The sequence below is a fragment of the Homo sapiens genome, chromosome 13, assembly GCF_000001405.40.
Source record: "Homo sapiens chromosome 13, GRCh38.p14 Primary Assembly".
Classification (NCBI taxonomy): domain Eukaryota; kingdom Metazoa; phylum Chordata; class Mammalia; order Primates; family Hominidae; genus Homo; species Homo sapiens.
This window is the reverse complement of record NC_000013.11, coordinates 111,662,696-111,687,308: the sequence shown is the minus strand read 5'-3', so window position 1 is coordinate 111,687,308 and position 24,613 is coordinate 111,662,696. Positions and strand designations below refer to the sequence as shown.

At 51.1% G+C, this 24,613-nt stretch overlaps 2 long non-coding RNA genes across 3 annotated transcripts, besides 3 other annotated features; one reads left to right on the top strand and one right to left on the bottom strand.

Annotated features, from left to right (window-relative positions):
- Positions 7,288-7,855: an enhancer, noted in NCBI's record as "H3K4me1 hESC enhancer chr13:112331801-112332368 (GRCh37/hg19 assembly coordinates)". NCBI's record gives its function as "activates a minimal SCP1, AML or CMV promoter by ChIP-STARR-seq in naive H9 embryonic stem cells {active_cell/tissue: H9 hESC(naive)}" and the evidence as "EXISTENCE:reporter gene assay evidence [ECO:0000049][PMID:30033119]".
- Positions 10,389-10,889: an enhancer, noted in NCBI's record as "H3K4me1 hESC enhancer chr13:112328767-112329267 (GRCh37/hg19 assembly coordinates)". NCBI's record gives its function as "activates a minimal SCP1, AML or CMV promoter by ChIP-STARR-seq in primed H9 embryonic stem cells {active_cell/tissue: H9 hESC(primed)}" and the evidence as "EXISTENCE:reporter gene assay evidence [ECO:0000049][PMID:30033119]".
- LOC102724489 (uncharacterized) lies at positions 14,743-17,662 on the bottom strand. Of its 2 annotated transcripts, none has more exons than XR_931735.3 (3): positions 17,574-17,662; positions 16,575-16,771; positions 14,743-14,911 (listed from the first exon to the last, which is right to left on the bottom strand). It is a non-coding gene; the product is annotated as an uncharacterized LOC102724489 (long non-coding RNA). The 2 variants fall into 2 exon arrangements; XR_429280.4 differs by having other exon boundaries at positions 16,575-16,704.
- Positions 16,070-16,845: an enhancer, noted in NCBI's record as "NANOG-H3K4me1 hESC enhancer chr13:112322811-112323586 (GRCh37/hg19 assembly coordinates)". NCBI's record gives its function as "activates a minimal SCP1, AML or CMV promoter by ChIP-STARR-seq in naive H9 embryonic stem cells {active_cell/tissue: H9 hESC(naive)}" and the evidence as "EXISTENCE:reporter gene assay evidence [ECO:0000049][PMID:30033119]".
- A 141-nt stretch (positions 17,663-17,803) lies between the features above and the next one.
- Positions 17,804-23,910, top strand: LOC105370366 (uncharacterized). Its single transcript, XR_931734.2, has 3 exons — positions 17,804-18,106; positions 22,239-22,393; positions 23,831-23,910. It is a non-coding gene; the product is annotated as an uncharacterized LOC105370366 (long non-coding RNA).
- The last annotated feature ends 703 nt before the right edge of the window (positions 23,911-24,613 follow it).

Sequence of the window (24,613 nt, the reverse complement as noted above, 5' to 3'; positions counted from 1 at the left end):
GGTGTCTGCATCCTTGGACCTTCACGGCTCTTGGTGCCTGCCTCTTGTCAGGGAGGGTGTCCGAGGAGACAAGAGCAGAGAGCAGTGTCATTCCCACCTACAGGGCTCTCTAGCACCTCAGAGGCATTGCAGCCACCTCTCCCTGGCCTTGAGCTCAGTGACAGGGGTGGCCACCGGGCGGCCTTCTTGACAGGTTGGTGGGTGAGAGGTCACTGCCCCACAACACTATAGCTACTGTCAGGTCCTGCCGTGACTTTCCAACCATAAAGCCACTCAACATCCACAGCTGCGACTCTTCCATTCCAGAACTGGCTGCAGATCCCGCTCAGACCCCAAGACACTGTGCTATTTCTTTCAGGATTGCATGTTTCTGGAGTCACTGATTCAGGGATGACCTTGGGGTCAGTTGTCTCGGGAATGCGTACATCTCTGCCACAGCCTTATATGCCTTGAGTTCTGGCTTGGCCGAAGAGAACCGCAAAGAGATTCCGCAGTGGTTATGTTGCCTCTGACAGTGGAGAGAGGCACTGCACTGTAAGCTGCGCCCTCTGGGGTCTTTTCCCAAGCAGAGTACCCTATAGGGAGCTGAGGCGGCTGAACAAAGAGGAACAGGCCTGATCCTGAGGTCCAGGGAGACCCCAAGAGACCCCATGCACTTATTCTGTCCTCTCCCACACACCAACTGTGGAAAGGCCGATTTTTTTTTTTTTTTTTGACGGAGTCTCGCTTTGTCACCTAGGCTGGCGTGCAGTGGCATGATCTCGGCTCACTGCAAGCACTACCTCCGGGGTTCACGCCATTCTCCTGCCTCAGCCTCCCGAGTAGCTGAGACTACAGGCACTTGCTACCATGCTCAAAAAGACCGATTTTCATGCCTTAAGCAATACATTGAAGATCAGGGCTGGACCATACAACCAGGTTGAGAACCAGCGTGGGCCTAAGCAGGTTCCTACCCCATAGGATCAAGATGGTGAGGTGAGCAGTTCTGGCACTTCCTGAAACACCTGCCCTGTGCGTTCCAGCCCTGGTTCCTAATCTGTGGGAAGTGCCGACAGGGAAACACCCCAGCTCCGGTAAGAAGTGTGGCTCCGTGGAGCCGGGCAGCCCGGGCAAACAGCACTCCAGCTGGCTCCTTCCTACCGACTCCTCTCCATGCCTCGATTTGTTTTGTGTGCTAGAGACTATCTCACAATGAGATTTGGAAGATAAAGAATGATGGATAAAAATGAGAAAGGTAGCTAGGGACACATCCAGCATCTGCCCGCCCCACCAACGATGCTCCATGCGCGGGCCTCACCCTAATCTTTGATTCGCCATATGCTTTATAAGAATTGGATTCCTAGGTTATTTGGTATAATGTGTATGTATGTCTCTCAGTGGTGAGAACTGAAGGGAACGGCGTGGGCTCTAATGCCTCCGCTCACACCTGTGGTCCCGGCGGGTGAGTCCACTCCAGGAACAAATCTCCAAGCGCTCCCTTCCCAGGTAGAGCCTGTGCCTGTGCCGCTCGCTGCTGCTCCAACTCCAGCCCCCAGCCAGTCCATCCTAGATCTGCCGCTGCTGAGCCGGGACCCTCTCTCCTGCCATGTTTCTTCCAACCTGAGGGAAAAAAAGGTGGCAGCTGCCGGACAGGCTGGTGGGAGTGCAGGTGGAGGTCTGGAGGAGGGAGAGGCCGGCACTGAGAGGAAGCAGAGGGACGAGGTGACAGAGAGGGCATTTGGGGCAGGAGACAGGGTCAGAGCCGGAGGAGACAGCCAGCAGAGACTGTGAGCAGGGCAGGCCATGCATGGACAGGGCGACAGTGGGCAAAGCAACAGCCCAACGTCACCATCGCCATGTGCAAGCATCTCGGGTGCCTCCACCCTTTCTGACTCTGCCCTTCGTGGAGCCCGTGTGAGAGCTCTTCAGCTCCAGATGAATGGCCATCAGCACGAGGACGAGAAGTGCACCTGCTGTGAAGGTGGTGCTTGGACACCGGGCACGACGCCCAGGTCCCTCCCCCAGGACCAACACCCTCAGGCCCTGCTCAGGGAGGGCCAGTGCGGGGGCTGCCTTCATTCCAGGTTGAGCGGTGACCTCCCAACTTCCATGTCCACCTGCAGCCTCAGGATGGGACCTTGGAAACAGGGTCTTTGCAGATGTGACCAGCTCAGTCAGGAGAAGGTCACAGAGGAGTGGGGCAGGAGGAGGCCGTGTAAGGGCACAGATGCAGTGAGAGGACTGCGGGGAAAAAGGCAGAGCCTGGAGCGAGCAGCTCCCAGAAAAGGAACACCAGAGATGTCAGGAGGACAAGGAGGGGATCCCCCAGGGACGCCAGAGAGCCCCTATCCCTGCCCACACTTTGATCTCAGATTCTAGGCCCCCAGAACCATGAAGGAATAAATAAATTTCTGCTGTTTCAGGCCACCTGGTTTGCAGTATTTTGTGACAGCAGCCCCCAGACATGAATACATCCTCCGAAGGTTACCTCTCTCCCTGCTGGCCCTTCCGTGGCCTCATTCTGAGGCATCCCTGGGGGGCCTTCCCACCGCCAGAGCTCCCCAGACTACCCATCACACCCACACTGCAGCGAACCTCCATCTCAGAACCCAAAACAGATCACAGTAACTGGGGGTGGCAGGACGAAGGAGGGCTTTCTTCACTTTATAAGAAGTTATATTACTGTGACTTTGCTGTGTCTGTGATCAAGACGTCCCAGAAGAGCTTTCGTCCTTTCTTTGACTGACACAGGCACGCACACAGGCCCAAATGCACAAGCACATGTGCACGCACAGACCAGCCCGGTGCCATCACTGTCATGGTCACAGGTTGGTCAGTGAAGGGATGACGCCCGGGCAGGTGCTGGCTTTTTAGATAAAATTCTTGATGCTGCCGGAGTCTTCAAACTCCTTCTCTGCTCTACCAAACTGCTAAACTGGTAGCAAAGTTGGGTGACTGGTGCCGCCTAGCCTATTGTTTCCCTGGCCACTTTGTAGTGGAATTGTCAGCACATCCGAAGATGGAAGGGTTTGATTCTCGACGACTGGGCGCTCCTTCCAAGCACAGGTGAGGGTGGCCTCCCTGCAGGATGATGGCTGCTGGCCATGCTGGCTGGGCCCCACCAGGCATGGCTGCCACGCTGCCTGGGCCACTGCAATCAAGCAGACTGGTTGTTGAGCCACAGTGGATGGGAACATTTTTAATGATTTAGTGAGATCTACAGCAGCCAAACATTATCTCTTAAGAAGGTCCCTACCCAGAGCTGAGAGCAAGATTGAAGTTATCCCCCAGGCAGAAGGAGTTGTTATCAAGCTTCAGTCACCAGAGAACAGCACGACAGTGACCAGGGGACACAGCCTCACTGTCACCAGAGAACAGCACGACGGTGACCAGGGGCCACAGCCTCACTGTCACCAGAGAACAGCACGACGGTGACCAGGGGCCACAGCCTCACTGTCACCAGAGAACAGCACGACGGTGACCAGGGGACACAGCCTCACTGTCACCAGAGAACAGCACGATGGTGACCAGGGGACACAGCCTGTCACCAGAGAACAGCACGATGGTGACCAGGGGACACAGCCTGTCACCAGAGAACAGCACGACGGTGACCAGCGGACACAGCCTCGCTGTCACCAGAGAACAGTACGACGGTGACCAGGGGACACAGCCTATCACCAGAGAACAGCACGACGGTGACCAGGGGACACAGCCTCACTGTCACCAGAGAACAGCACGATGGTGACCAGGGGACACAGCCTCACTGTCACCAGAGAACAGGACGACGGTGACCAGGGGCCACAGCCTCACTGTGGATCGGTCCTGGGGGGCCTGTGGCTTCCCAGGCTGATTTTCCACACGTGTTGACCTCCAACGGATAAAAGCACGACCCCAGAACGCGTTTCTGGATTTTGTTTGTGACTCAGTTGATTCCAAGCAGAACCTTCCAGTGGATGGACACAGACTGTCACCCGGCCCGCTGGGGAGAGCCACACACTCACCGGAAACCCACGGCCAACAAGCCGCGTGGAAAGCTTTCTCATCCAAGTGTCAGAAATTTCTAGAATCCATTAATAAGTGTGGTATTAGGAGGATTCTGCCCAGACTAGGATGCGGAAAACTGTTAAGGGGGAAGCCAGAAGAGGAAAAAGCCGCAAAGCCTGAGGTAAAGTCATTAAGCGGCAGCTGAGAGGCCCTGGAGCAGAGAATGCCACTGACTTTTGTGGCTGAGCAGAACCTGGTCCTGTGGAAAGAACAAGGTCTGAAGCACAGCCCAGCTGAAGGTGTTTGGCCCCAACAGATCCGAGAAGGAGATGATTTTGTTCTACAAATTACTTTCTTTTTTTGTTGGTGAGACGGAGTCGCGCTCTGTCACCCAGGCTGGAGTGCAATGGTGCAATCTTGGCTTACTGCAACCTCTGCCTCCCAGGTTCAAGTGATTCTCCTGCCTCAGCCTCCCAAGCAGCTGGGATTACAGGTGCCCACCATCATGCCTAACTAAGTTTTGTATTTTTATAGAGATAGGGTTTCGCCATATTGGTCAGGCTGGTCTAGAACTCCTGACCTCAGGTGATCCACCTGCCTTGGCCTAACAAAGTGCTGGGATTACAGGTGTAAGCCACTGTTCCCGGCCTACAAATTATCTTCTAGACCCCCAGAGACAAGGAATGACCAGATGACTGAACACCTCTATGGCCATATTTTTTCTGGACACCTAAGGTCTCAAGTTTGACACGTTACCAGACCTGAGAAATGGACAACACCCATCAGTCCAAGCCTTTTAAGAAGTTGAAGCAACTCTCCTGTCAATTCCCGTGTTGCCAAAAGATGGCCAGTTGACCAAAACTAGTAAAATATCATAGCAAAACCCAGATCTATAACTCTTTGTAATCCTTCACGGAGACCCAGGAGACCTGTGAAAGGACCGTTTACTCCTTTCTTGAAACAGCATCTTTTGGGATTGCAGGGCCTCGAATCCTTCTCTTAAGGATCCTACCACAAAACAAACAGCCATTTTTCCTTTAGAACATCTTATTAAGGCAGAGAGGAGAAAAACAACCAAATTTGAAAGTCAATCAATTCTATCGCCAAAGATAGAGTCTTATGATGTGAAGAGAGAACACTGTTTAATTATCATAAACTACAAACTTCTGTTGTCCCACAAACTGCCTTAATTCAGCCACATTTGCGCTCGGTCAGCATCCTCAGCATCCCCTCCAAGTTTGGGCTTGGGAATGAGAAGGAACACAGAGCAGAGAAAGCAAACATCTAGAACCAGACGTTGGTCACCAGGCAAGAAACGTTTCTACAGGGGACGGCCCTTGGTTCCTGTTAGGGCGCAAGGGACCTGAGTGTACCCGATGTCCCTACATGGTTCGGCATGGCTGCCTGCGCACTGTCGGTGTGTGCCCAGCCTCGCCACTCTTTTTTAAGCAAGAGAAATGCACTCATGACAAGATTCTCGAGGAAGCGTTCTAACCCTGTGCAGAGTAACGCTGTGCAGTGTGGGAGTGTTCAGGCCTCCTGAGCGCCCTGATCCCGGCAGGCTCTCTCAGGTACCTGTGAGCATTTGCTTGTGTGCCTTTCAACCTGGCTTGTTTGGTAAAATTTCCAAAAAGGCACCCATGGACAGGACAGCAGGCCAGGCTGCAGGGCAGCGTCAGGGATGAGGGTGAGGAAACATGAACCTGGGCTCCCACGGTCCCAGGGGCTCCAGAAACCCTCCTCTGCCCTGGGTAGCCGGCTGCTTTCTTCCACACAGCAACCGAGCTCCCACCTGTGTTGCTTCAGAAGGGGCCTGCTGGCTGTCACTTCCACATTCCCGTGGGGAGCCCACGTGCTCTGCACGGACATCCCATCAGAAGCAGAGACTTCCCATGCCTTTTTTGTGAATCAGTTGTTTGGCTGAAGGAGGAAAAACCCCATCAATATGAAAAACCTTCTCCCTTCGCACTTAAAATTGCTGCATGTTGCTTTGAGGGTTCAAAGGGCCGTACTTTGCCACATTTGGGCTCCATGGCAGAGCACACGAGGCACGTAGCAATGGGCCGCAGTTGCACGGTGAAGCCGCGGCCCGCATCCCAGCCCCGGCCACTTCTCAGCATGTTGAGGAGGTGCAGGGCAGCCCTGCTCACACAAACACGGCCACGTGACGCGAACACGCCACCCCGATGAAGTTCAAGTTAGAACCGAACCCCCCCCCAACCCAGTGTTGTCCTGACTTCAACACTCTGCCCCTCCTGTGGCCCAAATGCCCTCCGGGGCCACTGGGCAGGGGCTGGCCAGCCCACCCGCCTCAGGGAGCATGGAGCCCAGCCAGGATCCTGCCTGCCACATGGAACAGGCTGCCGAGTCACCAAAGAGAACGGGTCCGAGTAGGAGGATCCCACGAGCAGTTTGGCAAGCCCTTTGCCGGCCTTACGTGTGTGCCTCATTCCCAGCGTAACACATAAATCCCACCTCTGGGAAGATGTCTAGGGCCCCACAGTACAGGACGTGGCACTGTTGGGGTGTGGCAGAGTGATAACACCCGGCTGACTACACGGGAATACAATGTGAGTGTTGCGGTGTGTGCAGACAAGGGGTCGTGACATGGCACTTCAGGAGGGCAGTGCATCCCCTGGTAAACTGAGGCACAGGAAGCTGCTGCCTGTGGTGTAGTCTGGCAGCACCGTGAGCGCCTGGCCCTCTGTTTACTTGTCTGCACCTGAGTGTGGCTGCCCGGTGAGCCCTGCCACCGTCCCCCGAAAGAAAGGACTCTATCCAACAGACAGGCTCATGCCCTGGGAAAATAACCAATCTGCACCGAGTCAAAGGCTGGACGGCAGCTTCCCGCCCTGCTGTTCTCCCCTGTGCTGCCCGCCGTGGACGGGGCAGGGATGCTGCTTCTGCTTATGATTATTGTTTTGAACCTGCCACTGAATCGTTCTGAGTTTTCACCCAGCGGCAAATGTCCCTCCTTCAGAGACAGTGTTCAGCTGAGGCCGCTGAGAAAGGGAGGGTGTTGTTTTTGTGAATGACTCATTAGCACCTCTAGTGACTGGCAAGGCCTTCTTGGAGCAAAGGAGACTCACAGGAGAGAAATCGCCCCTGTGTCCTTTTCAGGGAAGGGGAAGAAAGGAAACAAGTTGCAACGACAAACGCGGGTTCCTTTTCCCTGCAGTCCCGCTGGAGGGGACATGAAGCCCCACACCTGTCTCGGTTTGTAAATTGAAAATATATTGGTCCTATTGCTGCTGATTTTCTCTTTTCTTTTTCTTCTTTTCTTTTTTTTTTTTTTTTTTTTTTTTTGAATGGGTGGGAATCATTCCACTTTGCCATGAGGAATGCTGAAGAAATGAATAATTAAAAATGAAAAAAGAAAGTCTTTTCAAGGCTGTTTACTTGGGTGACACAAATGTTTCTTTCTCCTCGTAGGGCCCACCCACAGAAAGGAGCCGAACAATGCCGCACTGGGCTTTGCCGGCCAGGCCTCGAGAGCCCAACGTCGCAGAGCCCTGCTGGGCCCTTTCAGCTGACGCCGCGCCTGACGGGCCAGCCCAGACGCCGGCCTGCCCGCTGCTAATTACGAGGGCATTGTTGCTTGAGTGCTTTCTGTGTTTACATAGTTGGACAAGTCTCCCTTAATTGTCCAAAAAAAAAAAAAAAAAGGAAAAAGAAAAAGAAAATTACTAATATTTCAGAAAAAGGGCAGGCTGATCGGGGAGAAAGGATTTACCCTTCACATGTATCAATATTGAGCACAAAACCCAGAGCTCTTCTTTGATAGCCCCCTCGGCCTTGGGCGAACTTGGACAGACTCCTCCACGAACTTCCAGAGCAGGTGCCCAAAGGCTTTTGCGATCTGCAGACACGCAGATGAGTGTCAGTAGCTTGCGGCTCTGGTTACAGAGGGTTTAAGTTATCCTAGCAAGTAAATAACCAAAGTTACATCATTTTAATCAACATTCATCATTTTAATTGCCTGAATCTCCACCAGAACAAAGTAACGCTATAGTTTTATGGTATTTGATTAATGAGGGCAGGAAAATTGAAGTTTTTGCAATAAAACTAAAAAAAAAAAAATCAACAGACTTTTATCGTTTTTTCCCTTGTGATTTTAATTTAATGGCTCGTGTTTTCATTACTGCAGAGGCTGTGCACTTCGGCGTGCAATTATGTCCCATCTGTGAAGCTCTGTGTTACTGTGTTATTACAGTTTATTCCAGCAGCTTTTCAATCACTTTTGAGTTGGGCTTTACAAGTATTCTTGCAGCAGGTGGGCTTCCTGGCACGGGCCCAGGAACACACAAAGCGCAAAGCTGGAGTCTAATGGCAGCATATGCATGTGGCACGGAGCAGCAGCCTTCCCCCATATGCTGCGGGCAGCCCTTGAGCCTGCCAGTCACTCTTCTTACTGACTACAGTCTCTAAGTAGTTTTCTGCCAGGGAAAAATATACCAAGGCAGCAAATTTCTCCAGTGCACCATCCTTATTACTGAGACAACCCTGTCATTAGCAGGAGCACAATGAACGTGAACCAGGGATGCATACCAATTAGGCTCCACGGAGCACTTTCGCTTCTTATCTCCATGGAGACGCGCCCCCCGGCTGCAGTGGACAGGCAGGAATGTCCCCCCACCCATATGCCACCTAGTTAACACTGCACACTTTCATGTGAACCCAAATCCGCTCCAGCCCTCTCCGCTGCGGAGAGAAAGGAAAGAAAACAACGGAAGTCTCCGTCCATGGGGAGGCAGAGCCTTTCGAATTCCGGGTCTCGTGCAGCCACAGCTCCCAGCCACAGACGGGAGTCGCTGCATTATCACCCGTACGGCGTCTAAATCTAGAAATAATACCCACCGCCCCCTTCAATCTAGCGGGGAGAGTTTAAACAATCTAAAAGAAATTGCCTTATCCCGTTCAGAAAAAAATGGAAACCCAATATTTGTTTTTAAATCGACAACGTGTCTCGCTTCCGAGAGCCTAGGACAACTCCATCCGCCGCTCCAGAGCCCTTCTCCCTGGTACTTTCTGCCCGTACCCCCGCCCCCCTGTACAGAATGCACCTAAGGAAACAAAGACTCGGTGTGTGTGGAAAGGATCTCCCCGCTGGCATTCTGTGAACTTTGCAAAGACCTGCTAACGAAGTCTTTTGTTTTCTTTGAGTGTGTGTGTGCATGTGTTGAGAGAGGGAGAGAGGGAGATGGTTTTTATTTCAGTGGCCCAGTATGTAGGCAACTGAGACATTCTGACTTCCAGAGTTTCACATTGTGGGTTGGGGTTCTCATTTTAATTTACAGTGTTAACTACCAGCAAGAGATACACCACGGCTTTATTTTCCTCTAAATTCCAGCAGCAAGTTGACAACAGGGCAACCCCTTGCATGCTGATGTCAGCCCTTCCTGAGCATGTCACCCCCTCCTGGGCCGGCTGCGTCCCCATCTTTGTGAACCAGCAGCCCCTTAGCAACCCTCTTCTGAACCTTCATCGTCTTCCTACCAAGGATGATGCAGGCTCTGTCTCTTACTTTCTTCATGCAGGGGTATTTTTTCCAATATTGGCTCTAAACCGTCACTCACCTTGCAAGAGAAAGAAATTCTCTCAAGCTGATGGTAGCAAACCACTGCGGCCAAAATGAGGGGTAACCGGCCCTTGCACTCCCAAAACTGCTGTGGCCACAGCCTCTTTCTGTTGTGTATGTGTGCCGGGGCTTTTGAGGAAGCACAAGTTCTGCGGTGAGCCGGTGCAGACTTAGCTTCCCACCGAGCCACAGCCTGAGCTCGACAGGAACCTAAGTCAGTCCCATTGAAGGCACAAATAAGTGTTGTTTGAAAAACACACACACACACACACACACACACACACACACACACACAAAATATAAGATGCTGTGAAATAAAGTCACATAATTAGTGATGGTGAAGCAGGAAGATGAAAGGTACAGGGGGCTGGGAAACCTGACTTCTGAGCACAAAATCAACTGATGTAGGACGAGTGATTTCCCCAGGTACCGTCACTTATAGAACATTTATTTTTTATTATAAGAGCAATTCTAGATATACATGAAATTCACTGGATTCTGATGGGAATAATTTCCTCCTGCCTAATGCGTCCCTATGGAAATCACACAACTCTTTGATTTGTGTTTTTAAGTTCAAGTCATCAAGGGAAAAGAAAACTTCTTTAGTAAAGACAGAGTAATCCTCAGCCCACCTCAAGCACAGCCGAGAAGGCGGAGGGAGGCCAAGTCACAGGAGGTTTAATTCGGTGCTCAGGGCTTGGCCTTCCTCCCAAAATACAACGGGGTCCAGATGAAATAAGAGATGGCACTTGAACGATTCAGCAACTTCACCTCCCAGCCACGTTGGAGACATCCTGTGCAACATGTGAATAACTACCAAGACCCTGCATTCCCTGACCCAAATGCTACAGTCCAGAGTTAGAACCACAGCCCAAGAGAATGAAAGGAATTTGTATTTATACTTATTTATGCTTTGTTCTTTCCCAGAGAAGATCTGGAAAGCCTGCTGTGGCCCTACCTGGCACATCAGGCTCTACAGAGAGCGGCTGTTTTCTTCATTCCTTGAAGAAGGTCGGCTAATCTCCCCCACCCCGACATTTACAGGTTCCGATGCAGCTGGGGAGATGTGAGCTCCTCAGACTAAAATCCAGCGTCCTGTGCTCCACCCACCCCAAGAAAGGCAGGGGCTTCTCGTCAGGGGGCTGCCCAGAGGGTCCGACGCCTCCTATTCCAGTCACGATGCTCGATGACCCTCTCTTATTTTCGTTCTCACACTCTCTAGGCAGCAGGCAGTGACACAGCCACACACTAGGCAATGAGGGGTCAGCCATGCCAAAGCCCACCAGGCCTCTCTGTCTGTCCACTTACCGCAAAGCAGTGCCCAACTGCTGGTTGGGCTATGCTGAACTTCTTAAGGCAAAACCTGCGCCCACAGAGCCACTGTTTCCTTCTTCCTCTCAGACCTGGGTTGCCCTTCAGCCGTGTTCAGCCTGGCCAGGGGTTGAAGGTGCCACCCGGCCAGACTGATGGGATCTCTGTTGGGTTGGGCAGACAGTCACGAATGGGCACCCCCCGCCTGCTGGCTGAGTGTCCAGGCTAGTGAGTCACTGTCCGTTCTGATCTATTGAGTGGCCTGCTAGAGTTTGGCCACCCAAATCTCATGTTGGAACGTAATCCTCAATGTTGGAGTTGGGCCTGGTGGGAGGTGATGGGGTCATGGGGGACGGATCCTGGGGCCATCCTCTTGGTGATGAGTGAGCTCTTGCTCTGAGTTTACATGAGATCTGGTCATTTAAAGTGTGTGGCACCTCCCTCCCTCTCTCTCTTGCTCTCTTTCTCTCTCGTTCCTGCTCTCACTGTGATGTGCCTGCTCTCCCTCCACCTTCCACCATGACTGGAAGCTTCCCGAGGCCTTCTCAGAAGCTGAGCAGATGCCAGCACCATGCTTATACAGCCTGCAGAACCATGAGCCAATTAAACGTCTTTTCTTTGTAAACAACCCAGTCTCCAGTATTTATTTAAAGCAATGCAAGAACAGCATAGTTCACAGCCATTGCAGGGCCAGCACCTCTGCTCTTAGTCAGAGCCTATACTGAAGAATTTTTACAGACGTCTCAGCCCACCCTCTCTGGGGCCATGCTTTTTCTTCGTGGGTGCTGTTACAGGTTGAACTGTGTCCCTACAAAAGATATGCTGAGGCTCTCTCCCCTAGAACTTCACAATGTGACTTTTTTGGAAGTAAGGTCATTGCAGATGTAATTAGACAAGAGGAGGTCATCCAGGAGTCGGGTAGACCCTAATCCAACAGGGCTGGTATCCTCATAAGGAGAGCGGGTTGGACACAGAGAGGAGACACGCAGGAAGAAGGCATGAGGATGGAGACAGAGATCGGACTGAAGCATCTACAAGCCATGGGGGCACTGGGGCTATGGGGCCACCAGATAGTGGAAGAGATGGGAAAGCATCTCTCCCCAGGGGCTTCCGAGGGAGCAGGGCCCTTTGGATGCCCTAATTCCAGACTTCCGGCTTCCAGGACTGTGAGAGGGTTCATCTCCGTGGTTTGGAGCCACCCTGTTTGTGGCACTTTGTTACAGTAACCCTATGGAACCAACGCGGGTGCCCTTTAGACAGTGACTCCCCAGGTTCATAGAATAAGGGAAGAAACAGGACATTTCAATGAAAAAGCAGTTAGTTTAGGTTCCCAGGGGTATAGAGAATGTTCGAGGGCTCAGGAGCCACATGGCCTGCATTCTACTCAGTCCTCACAAAGGGCGGCAGAGTGTGTCCGTAACTACAAGGACTCTGGATCCAGTTGGTCTCAGTCCAAATCTCAGCCCTGCCAGGTGGTGGATATGCTGCCTTGGAGAAGTTACTTAACCTCTCTGAAACTCAGGTTTTTCATCTGGGAACCGAAGACAAAAGCAGCCTCTGAGTCATAAATTTATATCAGGCAGAGTAAGCCAACCCATGTAAAAAATCATGTCTAGTATATAGTGTATAGTTAATGCCTGGGGACTCATGTATAGTAAGATTTATAGGAATAAATGCTATCTTTTTTCTCTTTACAAAAGCTATATTTAATTTTGTGTCATCACTGCCCAAAGTCATTTTCCAATTCCAAGTCAGTCGTACATCCAACACAGGTTTCTTTTCACATACAAAATAAAACCACAGACTTGTCTGAAGTGGGCAAGAAAACTCTGCTTTCTAGAACTGATGTGCAACCAAGGCTGTTCTTGGCTGCCCTGTGGGACAGCTCCTGACTGTCCCCACTGAGCTCCTGGCCCCCAAGTCTGTGTCACTCTTTCCATCAGCAGCACCCTACCCCAGGGTATATGATGGGCCTTCTTTTTGTTAATGTTCTCATATTTATTTTCTATCTCCTCAAATAAATATGAATAATAAGTACCTTAAAAATAGGGATTGCATGTAATAATTCCTCATATCTCTAGCCCTCATACATTATTTTCAACATGAAACGAGCTTAAAATATTAAATAAGATAAAAAGCAAAATAACAGATGAAAGTCAGGTGGTTATGGTGACCGCGTGTGTTTACGCAGCACTTTAGAGCCCATAGGACACCCTCCGTATGCTGTCCTGTCTGGTCCAGCCTCAGGGGCTGCAGCGCTTTTTTTTTTTTTCTTCTTGCAAATGAAGACATGAGGCCATTATTATTATTAGCATCTTCATATGCAGATGAAGGACATGGAGCATAAAGATGTTTAGGAGCTTATTCAAGGTCCACAGCTAGTGAGGACCACACCCCCAAGCAGGTCGACCCAGAATCTATGCTGTTAACTGCAAAGCTATCGTTCCCTCTTCATGGTGTGGGGAAGATTACCATAGGTAACACGTGCCCATCACTCACAATGGTCCCTTCTCTTCAGGACTCAGTAGATGCCAGCTCTAAGTAGGGTGATCACATAAAAGCTCCCTCTCATGTTTGGAAATGAACAATGGCACACGTATCAATTACATCACAACAACAGGTGAAAAAGCAGGGCCCTCTCAGGCAACCTGACTCACACAGTCTCCTCAGTGGTAATGATGGTCCCGGATTATCAGCTCCCAGGGAGAAGAGCACATCTTGCCACAGGCACTTTGTGTGGAGACTCATGAATATTTAGGACCAGGGTGTTTTCCTCCGGAGGCCGGATCTGGGGCAGCAGAGGGGAGAGTGAGGCTGCATCCAGGACTCTGAGGCAGGCAGGGTACCGGTCGCACCGAGACCCCGGTATAAGCAAGGTTTTAAAATCCCCCAGTGGGAAATCTAATAAAGTAACCTGGATTATTTTGAATCCACCCACTTATCAGTATGCCCTTCCATGTGGGAGACTCAGATGAGCATCATTAAACCTCTGCTTCTATAAAATCCACACACTATTCATGTCATACATATGGTCAAAATACAAGTGAGATGTGGGTACGTATGTTGCAAATTATGCTTATGGCTTTTAATAGTTATATGATTGCAATATGTTGGAATAAGCCTTAAATATGCAATATGTTGGAATAATCCGAAAATCTTAATTATGGTGGAAGCCACTGGGTGGGTGCGTCTGAGTGGGGTGGGAAGGACGCACCTCAGATTCAGAGAATCCCAAGGTCAAGGGGCAGCTGTGATGCCCACCCACTTGGGCAAATTGCTTTTCATCCTCAGTATCCTCAGGTGTAAACCTGGGGCCCACGCAGCCTCCCTGTTCAATATTTAAAAAAATAGAAAAGTAAAATGAAGATCCCGTTTGTCCTTTCTCACTTTTGCAGGATGATTGGGAAAATCAAATAAAATAATGCAAATATAGTTGCTCAATTATTCAACATTTATTGCACACCTCCTGTGTATCACACCTGCATGAAGCACTTGGCTTGCAGACAGGGAGAAGGACAAATAAACTGACAGCTATCCTGCAATGTGCCGAGCGCGCAGGTGAACCTGGCCCTTGGGCTAGCATGGACAGGCACTCCCTAATTTACCCATCCTCATGGAAACTGTTCTAGAGCTCTGTGTTTTAGCCAGCAAGCCCAGGTCTGTGCTCAAAATGAACAATACTAATGTCAAAATTTATAGCAAGATATTAACATGATAAAGCCAATTTTTACACTGTCTTATAGGTGTTAAAATAGGTACTAGTGAACAACTGATTTTATCTTTGTCCCATTTGCGGAAATTTCTAACCTGGATAATCTTTAAAGTCTATAGAAATAGACCTGGTCATTTTTTTCCATTTGGAATCATCGATTTATTTCACTTAAGTTATCAAAGTGCAAATCATAGCTCCCGGTTTCTTCCAGTCTCGGCTCCTTTTGAGCTGATGTCGCACAGATGAAATTTCAGCTCCTGCCCCTTGTAATTATGCAAGCTGAGGCCTTGAAAGCTGTGACTGCATCAGAACACTTTTCTAACCGACTCTGTTTAGTCCACACCAGGCTGGGAGAGTAAACAAATGCAGTATGTGAAAGGGTAGCTTTGCGTAGGTACTGTCCAGTTTGAAATTGCAAAAGATTGATTTTTCCATGAAAACCCCTGGATGTGTATCTGCCCTTGTCCTGACCTCTGAGCTGCCTGCCCCTCCCTTTTTGAAGCCCTCTCCTCGCCCACATTCTGTGACCTCACCTCACCCAGGAAAGCCCCGCACCTCCTATCCCCCAACTGCCCTTGGGTAATAGGGCCCACTCTTGGGTGTGGCAAGGACAGGCAGGACATCCACCAAATCCATGCCTCTTCCCCACACAGGATACTACTGCACCCTAACCCCCTTGCAGCTGGGCTGGGACCTGTGACTGGGTTTTGACCCAAATGTTCCTGAACAATTCTCAAGACTTTGATGATGTTTGGCTGGAAGGCATCTAAGGAGGAGGCCAGAAGAAATGCAGCACCATGAGACAGAAGATACTGGCAGACCCTGGCCTGCGCCTGGTAAGGTTGCAGGAAGCCTGTGAGGTGCAGGGGCGGCCGGCTCGGGCCAGCATCAGCGAGGCTGCCGTGGCTTCAGTACTAGCTGAGTGCCACTGGCCCAGCTCTGTGCTCTCAGCCCCCGCCTCTCTCCGGAGCTTCCACCTGCAGATCCACCACTGGACGTCTCCACGTCTTAAGACAAACTCCCCTCCTCCTGCCAAACCCCCATCTGCTCCTCTGCCTCTGGGGACGCTTCCATCCACAGCACTAAGGATGGGTGATGACTCCCCAACCTCCCTGTGCCTGCCATCACCTGCACCCCAAAGTCCTCCTCCCCACTCCTGGGTGTCTCTCTGCTCCAGGTCTACACCACCTGAACCCCTGGCCTGGCCATTGGAAGAGCCTCTGTGACCTGCCCTGGCCCCGGGCCTTCTTCCAGACCCACTTTCCCCTGAACGTAAAGGAACACACATTTGATTCGGATGCCATCCTGCTAACGCCGCCACCCCCCTACCCCCGCCCCGCAACAGCACTTTTCCATGGGATTCCAGGACCAGTTGGGCTGAGGCCTCTGGACGTCCCTGCCAGCCTCGCCTCTCCCAGCCGCCCTCCTTCCCACCGCAGACCGCCACTGCCCTGCCTCTGCTGCCCCATCCCACAGGCAATCCTGCCTCCTGCCAGCTCTTGGCCTGGGCTCTGGGCTGCCTCACGCCCTGCCCTGCCGTCCTTTCACAGTCCGGCCTCGCCTATCACCTTCCTGTCTCCCCTGCCCTGTGGGGATGGCTCCCGCGCTCCCCGTCACATGTGCAGCCACATGTGTAAGACGGAAGAGAGAGGGAGGGAGGAAGGAAAGATGGAAAGGAAGGAGGAAGGGAGGGGAAAAGGGAGGAGGGGACAGGGGACGGGCAGACGTAGTATTTCCAGTTCATCCCTCAAACCAACATCTTACCCCTTTTATATAATTGTACCCCTTGATCTGGCCTTGCCAGCATAGGCGGGACCCCCGCTGAATCCAGTCCGAGCTGTAGGGAGCTGGTACTGTGCAGAGCATCTGCGGGCCCCCGGGCCTGTCCCCAGCTTCGCCGCCACCCCCTCCACACAGACCCCAGGGGCAGAGCCTTGCTACATGGAATGTGGGGACCCTGTGGGCCCCCGGGCCTGTCCCCAGCTTTGCGGCCGCCCCCTCCGCACTGACCCCTGCGGCAGAGCCTTGCTGCGTGGAGTGTCACACGCGCCACTGCATGGATGCCCTTTGAGAGTCTGCAGGGAATGCTGGCGGGAGTCATCCTGTGGTGAGCCGTGGTCCACATCTGGATCCATCTCATCTTGTAAAATGGATTTTTTAAAGGTATTAAACCTTCCTTCACCTCAAACACAGTCTTTCTGATGGGGCTGCAATGGTGATAAGTTCTTATGGGCAGACGCGAAGGAGAGGAAGGCCTGGGCGGTGCAGCTGTGGGAAGCAGGCCGCTCTTCCTACAGCCTTGCCACACCATGACCTGCCAGCGAGCAGGGAGCGTCCAGACCGTGTCCCTCCCCTCCTCCCTTCCCTGCTGGGTGTCGCACCAGATAGACAAGGGCAGATGTGAACAGATACAATCTGCCTCAAGCCAGAGGCCGGCACCCCGCTGGCTCCCGATGGGTCCTCAGTTATTCATTGCTTGGTTGAAAGTGAGTTTAAGAAAGCAGCTGAGCCAGGCGCTCCTCATACAGCAAGGTCTGATGGTGATGGCTAGAGGGCCGCGGCCTCCGGAGCTGACAAGGAACCTTGGAGCTGCCTGCTGTCACCCAGGGGTCCCTGCTGTGTGCTCGCCTGTGTCTCTCTCCATCGGGGACATTGCTGGGGCCACACAGCAGGTGCTTTCAGAAAACGCCCCCCAGGCCTGTGGAAAGTCGCTGCCCATGCCACCCTGAAGTGCCTCGCACTAAAAGAACATTTGAAGACGCCCAGGTTCACCCACAATTCCACCATAGCCATGGCGGGGGGCGGGGGTGTGTGTCTCGAGCCCGTGGTGACAGACTCAGACTGACCCTCTCCCCTGAAGCCCACGGTGTCACTGAAAGCATCTTTTAAAGACTCACATTTTACTTAAAAAGACTAACGTTTTTAAAGAACAACTAACCCTAACCCTAACTCTACCTCTAACCGTAACCCTAACTGGATGAGTATGATTCTAAGATGTGAGAAACAAACCAGAAAAAGCATTTCCTTGCTCCTTAGAAAGTATTTTCCGAGCGTTAAGCTTAAATTATTATAAACATCTTAGCGCCTGCGCCAGCACCCTTCAGCCTAGAGGAAAGTCCCGAGGGGGCAGGGGGCAGGGGGCAGGGGGCAGGGGGCAGGGGGCAGGGGGCAGGGGGCAGGGGGCAGGGGGCAGGGGGCAGGCGGCCGGAGGAAACAGCGGTCCTTGTGAGCGCCTGGAAACCGCCCCACACACTGTGAGCCCACATCAGACCTTGCGAAGGTCACTGGGCCTTCTGGAGCCTCGCCAGGCCTCAGAGCAGCTCCGAAATGCTCAGGGAGGAAGGGGACTATTTCTTCTGAAGACATTGCGGGTGCAACTGTGACCCCGTTGGTAATCGGCTCCACCTCCAGCATTTTCCTGGAGCTGACGCTCCAGAGGAGGCTCAGTCCCACTCATCCCGCACGTCTCAGATCCCCATTCAATTTCTATCCTGCATGGGAGTTAAAAAAGAAAGACGCTGATTGGGCCTAGGAAAATAGAGGTAATTTTCTGTAATTTGGTTTTATGTAACCAAATGTATACACTTAAAATATGCTCACATTAATATCCACAGGTGGAAACAAACAGAAGTGATCTTGTTAACCACAGGGCGGCAACCAGCCCCGGAATGGTTACGTGGGAGCCTGTGCAGCGTCCAGGCAGGGCCACACGCAGACCTTTCCAGATGAGGGTGGGAAGCAGCTGCGTCTTATCTGTGGAGGAAATCCCAGGGTCCCTTCCCAGTTCTCCGGGGATGAGCGTCTTCACTGTGGGGACTTCCGCTGGCTCGTATTAGACGCCTCCCTCGCCCCTCTATAGTTGGAGCCGGGGGTCCCGTTCACAATCTCCCTGAGCCAATGGCCCCTTTGCATGAAAGAGGCTGTCAGTCCCCTCAAATTCGCCCAAATAGCCACAAGGTCACCGCATTCGGTGTGCAGGGGCGGGCCTGGGCTGGAGCCCGCGGGTGTGGCCTGTGAGGCTGGGGGAGCCGCGGGCCCTGCGGGGGTCTCCGCGCCTGCACGGTGAGAGCTGAGGCACCCGCTCACAGGAAGCACAAAATCTGATGGGAAATAGCGTCCGCAGGCGCTTTACCCCTCAGCGGATGCTCGGTCAAGGGTCTGGGTGAATCTCATCGGCGAGGTGGCGTGCCCTTCCACGGAGAACCGGCCAGAGACGCCCGCCACCGAGGCCACCACCGCACCCCTCGGCCTTTGTCCTGCGCTCACGGTGCAGGCTGACCTTTGCCCTCAGCCCAGGTGGCCCAGTCCCCAGCTCCCAGGCTGATTTTCAGTTCCAGGTTAACGACAGGGATTGTCTGCAATTCAGACTTTTAGACACCAAGGGACTTCCCAGCCCCTGTTCTCTCCCGCAAAGCTCAGCCCCTCAGAGGGAGCCTCTGAGTTCCCTGTAGATGCCACGAGTGATTGCAGCAGGGAGTGGACCTCGGCCAACGTGGAACCACCACTGCGGTCCCAAGACGCGTGTGTTTTCGGTGGACTATGTCATAAGATTATCTCATCTTCATATTTTTTTGCAACGAGGAACGCACAGGATGTAATATGGTGAGTGTCAGTCAAATACCAGAAAAGGAAGAGGCAGTACTGTCAAGATTTTTCAACATTTAGATTCGGGAAAACTTGTGGCACTCTTGGCTAATAAGGAAGCATCTGGTTATCAACCAATAGATCCAAAATGCCGCTGAGGGAGACACCAGCCGGCTCTGCATGGCCTCAGAGGCAGCGCATGCACTGGCAGCCAACTCACATTCGGGCCCTTTTACTTCTTACTGACAATGAATCGAGATGTAGAAATGAACGTAAGATCCTATGAAAGAAAATATAAAAGATGTGGAAAATATAAAATAGAAATTATTTTAACCTGAGGTGGAACTAAGGCCTCAAGTTCCAGCAAGACTCACAGGTGAGTGGTGAGGTCACAGCATCTCAACACGCGGCCGAGGCTCCTCGCAAGGGCGGCGAATCTTAGCAGATTTTATATTTATACTTTTCTTTCAAAAGTAAGATGAAGGTTTATTTTAAATGTATATCTTTTCAGAATTTGCTGGTAAAATGCTAACAGATTTTCCCATGAGGGAGAGGATAGCTTTTTCCATCTATAATATGCTAATATTCAGAGATTCAGAGGCAGCCCTTGCCACTGGCTTAGTGGTACATGCAGTTTTCATACATTGTTATATTATGAATGTTTATTGTTGTAGGAGATTTTCCATGTTTTCCATAAAATGAAATAAGCAACATTTAAAAAACTATATATGCATAGATACATATATATTTTTTGCTCCCCTGTGAACACCCAGGTGAGACAATATATTTTATAAATAGTAAAATTCTGAATATAAATTTTATTAAGTAGCTATAATAGTGTGCTCACCAAGATTCCTTATTTAATTATTTTACAAGGTAGAGTGACAGAAAATGTCTCTTTTCTTCACTAATACAGGTAAACGATCCTTGGTTGCCAATGAGCAGTTTTTAAGTAGCAAGCTCTATTTCTCGGCAAGGCTAACGAAAAAGCGTGCTGATGTACACACACTTTCTTTGTCACCCTGTAATAAAATTTTGAAGTTGCCCAAACTACCACTTTATGTTTATTCTAACATGCTAAAATTAGGAGACAGTGAAATGTCAGACTATGCAAATTAAGATGAGGACCAAGAAATGTCCTGTACAATTCCAAATCCCAGAATGTGAAAAGGTAGTGAGGTTTCCTGAAATGGTTCTTCTGTGGTTCTTCTCTTTGTTATAATCTCCAAGGACATCTTGATTAATAATAAAAATATTTTTATTCGCAACTATTTTTCCCTGCCAGGTCAGTTTTGTCCTGCAGCTCAGTTATTTACAACACACATGGACACACACGCACATGTACACACACACACACACGCACATGCACACGCACACACATGCACATGCACACGTACACACATGCACACACGGACATGTGCACACACATGTACACATGCACACACACGTACACATGCATGCACATGCACACGCACATGCAAACACATGCACACACGTACATACACACATGCACACACGTACGTGCAAACACATGCACACACGTACATGCACACAAACACATGCACACACGTACATGCACATGTACATATGCACACCCAATGCACACACATGCACATACACGCACATCCACACACGCACATGCACACACCTGCACACATGCACATGCACACACACGCAGGCATATGCCTCTCCTCTCCTGCTGAACCATCGCCTCCATACAGAATGCACGCTTGCATTTACTGGGAGTGAGGGGCCTCTGGGTGGGGAGACCTCGGGCACTGGCTCTGCAGCTGCTCCTGGGACGCTTTGGAGGCCAGAGCACATGGTCAGGTGGCAACCCTCGCTAACTGGCCCCTCCCAGCCATCATTCTTATTCCAGGAATGACTTTCTGATGCACATAAAGTGGATCAACGAGGAGTTTCACCCTCTTAGAACAAATTCTATAAACCAAAATAGAGATGACACTTTTACATAATTTCCTTTTAATGGAAAAAGGAGGGTTTTGCTGGGACCCAGAACACTGTAGGCAGCAGCAAGTGCAGCCGCATCGCTGTTTTGTTTAAACCACCTTAAGCCCCAAGTTCAGGCTTTAGCCTGCTGTGCAGGACCCAGCTCTGCGAGCACCTGGGACCCCCTCCTCTACGAAGGACAAAGCGGGGCCACCATCTGGGCATGCAGCAGCCGCCCTGTGCCTGTAAAGGTGTGCATGTCCCCCAGGAACTACTCAGACTCAGAATTAAAGGTCAACTATGGTGTCAGACGTGGGGGTGGGGGCCCCAGCTAGATCTGCATGAACTCTCAGGCCCGGCCGCCCCCGCCACCTGCCGGCTCACCTTTAGGCTGGGGCATCAGACACAGAAACCAGTGATCCCACGCGTGTGTGGGAAGAAGGAAAAGGCCTGTTTCACTTTTTAGCTCCTGACAGGTTTGCTACCTTTCAGGTGAGCACTTGCATCAAGCAAAGTGACAACAGAAGGGTGGCCCAAGGCAGAGAGGGTGACACTCAGCATGGCCCAGCCCCTTCCCGCATGTCTGCAGAGGGGCCCAGCCCCTTCACCCAGGTCCGCAGAGGGACCCAGCCCCTTCCCCAGCCCCGCAGAGGGGCCCAGCCCTGGCAGCACCAAGCTCGGCATTATGCAGGACGGCAGCCCTTCTAGGATGGCAGAGGGAAGCGTGCGGATTAATCAACTTGATATTACCCGTCCTGATTAAACAATGAGGCGTCCTGGGGTTCTGCTTCCGTCCCAGCGAGTGCTCATCATAACTAATGTGCAAACCCCAGCGCAGCTCCCTCGGGAGCAAACTACCTTTTAATTTTTTCCTCTAAAGATTAATTCCATTGTTATGGAACCTGTTATAAGAACTATAAACTAATCATTAGTCATTTTCAAACAATCTGACCTTTTCTGCCACGAATCGTGGAGTCTTTTCTCAAGAAGTCTTTTTGGGTTCTGGGAATTTGCATCATGCAAGATCAGAAAGAGGGGTTGGAAAATAAACAGTAACGTGTGTGCTGTGAAACTTTGCAAAGAGGGGAAAATCCTGTGATGGCCTCTTTTTGTTGTGCATGACTTTTTGTGTTTTCACAGCTAAGGATGATGCTTCCACCCCAGCCCAGCACCACCTGGGCAGGAGAAGGAGCTGCTCCAGGCTAAGCGCACCCACGAGCCAGGTGCCCTACACATGGGCACACCAGTGTGTGTGAAAATCCTGGCTGCTGTGGCAAAGCACCACACACTGGGAGGTAAGCAACAGAAAGTTATTCTCTTCGTTTTGGAGCCTGGAGCCCAAACTCAAGGTGCCAGCTGGGCCATGCTATCCCCAGGGCTCTAGGGAAGGGTCTGCCCAGGCCTCTCTCCTGGCAGAGAGTGGCTCCTGGGTGTGGAGCCGCATGACTCCAGTCCTGACACTGTGCAGGTTCACAATCTCTTCTCTGTGTCCAAACTCCCTCTTTTTATAAGGACACCTGTCATATTGGGTTAGGGGCCACTGCACCCCAAGACAACATTGTCTCAACTAGGCACATATTTCCAGTTAAGGTCACACCTTGAAACACTGGGGGTAGGACTTCACTGTATGAGTTGAGGGTGCATTTTCAACCCACAGAAGTAGGATTAGCAGAGAAGATGATTAAAGTCCAGAGAGGCCAGTCACATCCGCCAGGCCCTAGAGCCGCCAGTGCTGGAGTCCACCTCTGACACGGGCTGGGCTCACCTGCAAGATTAGACCCTGTCCAAAACCCTCAACATCTCTAAATGCTAAACATTGTCTTGGAGATGGTCCAGAAAACATAAATGTCTGCAGCCTCCGTCTCCTCCACACTGTGGGCTCCGTCACGCAGCACTGGGGTGGGAGTGAGCTGGGTTCAGATGGAGTAGTGCTCAGCAGCAGGACAGGCACCCCCGCCATGGGCCGCAGTGCAAACAGGAGGAGGCTGAGTCCGTGAGTGCTGCCAAGGCCTTTCTGCTTTCAACCAAACATAGCTCTTCTTTTTCTGGAACCATCACATCTTACAGGACATCATACATCTGGAGGATTGAAACTGTGTGTGTACATGTGCTTTATTTAACACCCACGCTCCCTCCCCAGAAGATTATAGACGGCCCCAGAGCTTAAGATTCTCCTGCAGTCCCACATGTAGTGAAACCTAGACAACAAGACCAAGCAATGCCCTAACCCGGTGAAAATTCCCAGCAGTCAGGGTTAGGTCTTTAGTAACCAACGCTCCCGCTACTGAGAAAACAAAAGCAAGAAATTCAGTCTCAAAGCTGATTGGTGCTTTTGAAAATTATTAAGCTAAAAAACGCCTTCCACTCCCGTAGATGAAAGAGATTAAAATTCTATTAAGAACAACAGTTTATAGGCCGCTGGCCAGTTAGACACGCAGGCACACACACAGAGACACGGGCCTTTACCTCTGGCTCAGGGGAACTTTGCAATGGAGCCCCGAGCCTGGCGGGGGGCGCTCTGTGCTTCGGTCTCAACTCCCGCTCCACCCACGTTTCTCTGGACCTCACACAGGGGTCTGTGTGCTCTGCCCCTGAGCACCCAGGCATCCTTCTCTTCTGCCTCTGTGCTGTTCCCTTTCTTCTGGTCGGCCCCAGTGACACCCATTAGCAAACATGTTTTCAGCATTGAAGACAAAGACTCATATTCTTTACTCATATACTAAAAACACTAGGAGACTGGGACCAAAAGTGTGAACAGACAATTCCAAGGAGAAGAGGAGGAGGAGGAGGAAGAAGGCGAGGAAGAAGGACGAGGGGAAGGGGAAGAGGAGGAGGAAGAAGCAAAGGAAGAAGGAGAAGAGGAAGAAGGTGAGGAAGAAGGAGGAGGGGAAGGGGAATGGGAAGGGGAACAGGAAGAGGAAGAAGGCCAAACAGTGGGTAGCCCCAGACCCTGGCAGCACATCACGTGAGTACACAGGTGGTGAATTTTCTCCCATCACATTGGCAAAATATTCTTGGCAAGCACTTGGGAAGACAGACATGATAAGATCCTACTGAAGGGGCTAAGACAGTGCATTTGAGGAAGCCAACTTAATACTATGCTGGAAAAAAACCTTAAAGTACGCAATCTCACTGCTGTAATGACTCTGAGAGTTTATCCAACAGAGATAACTGAGAACGTGAAAAATGGTTAGTACCAGGGTATTCATCACAGTCCAATTATACCAGCAAAACGTGAAAACCCTGAAGACCCAAAAATGAGGAGATGTGTAAGTAATTGTTATGTAGCTTCCTAAAAAGCAATTTTTATGCAAAAAAGTAAAAAATTGCTGTTATAAAAAAGATAGTTATGGCATTTAGAATATTTTCAGTGTTGTGTAACTGCCACTTCTATCAAATTCCAAAACATATTCATCACCCTAAAAGAAAACCCTGCACCCATTAAGCAATCACTCCCCATCCCCACACCCACCCCTGCTTCTGGCACGCACTCATCTGCCTTCTGTTTTCTGGCT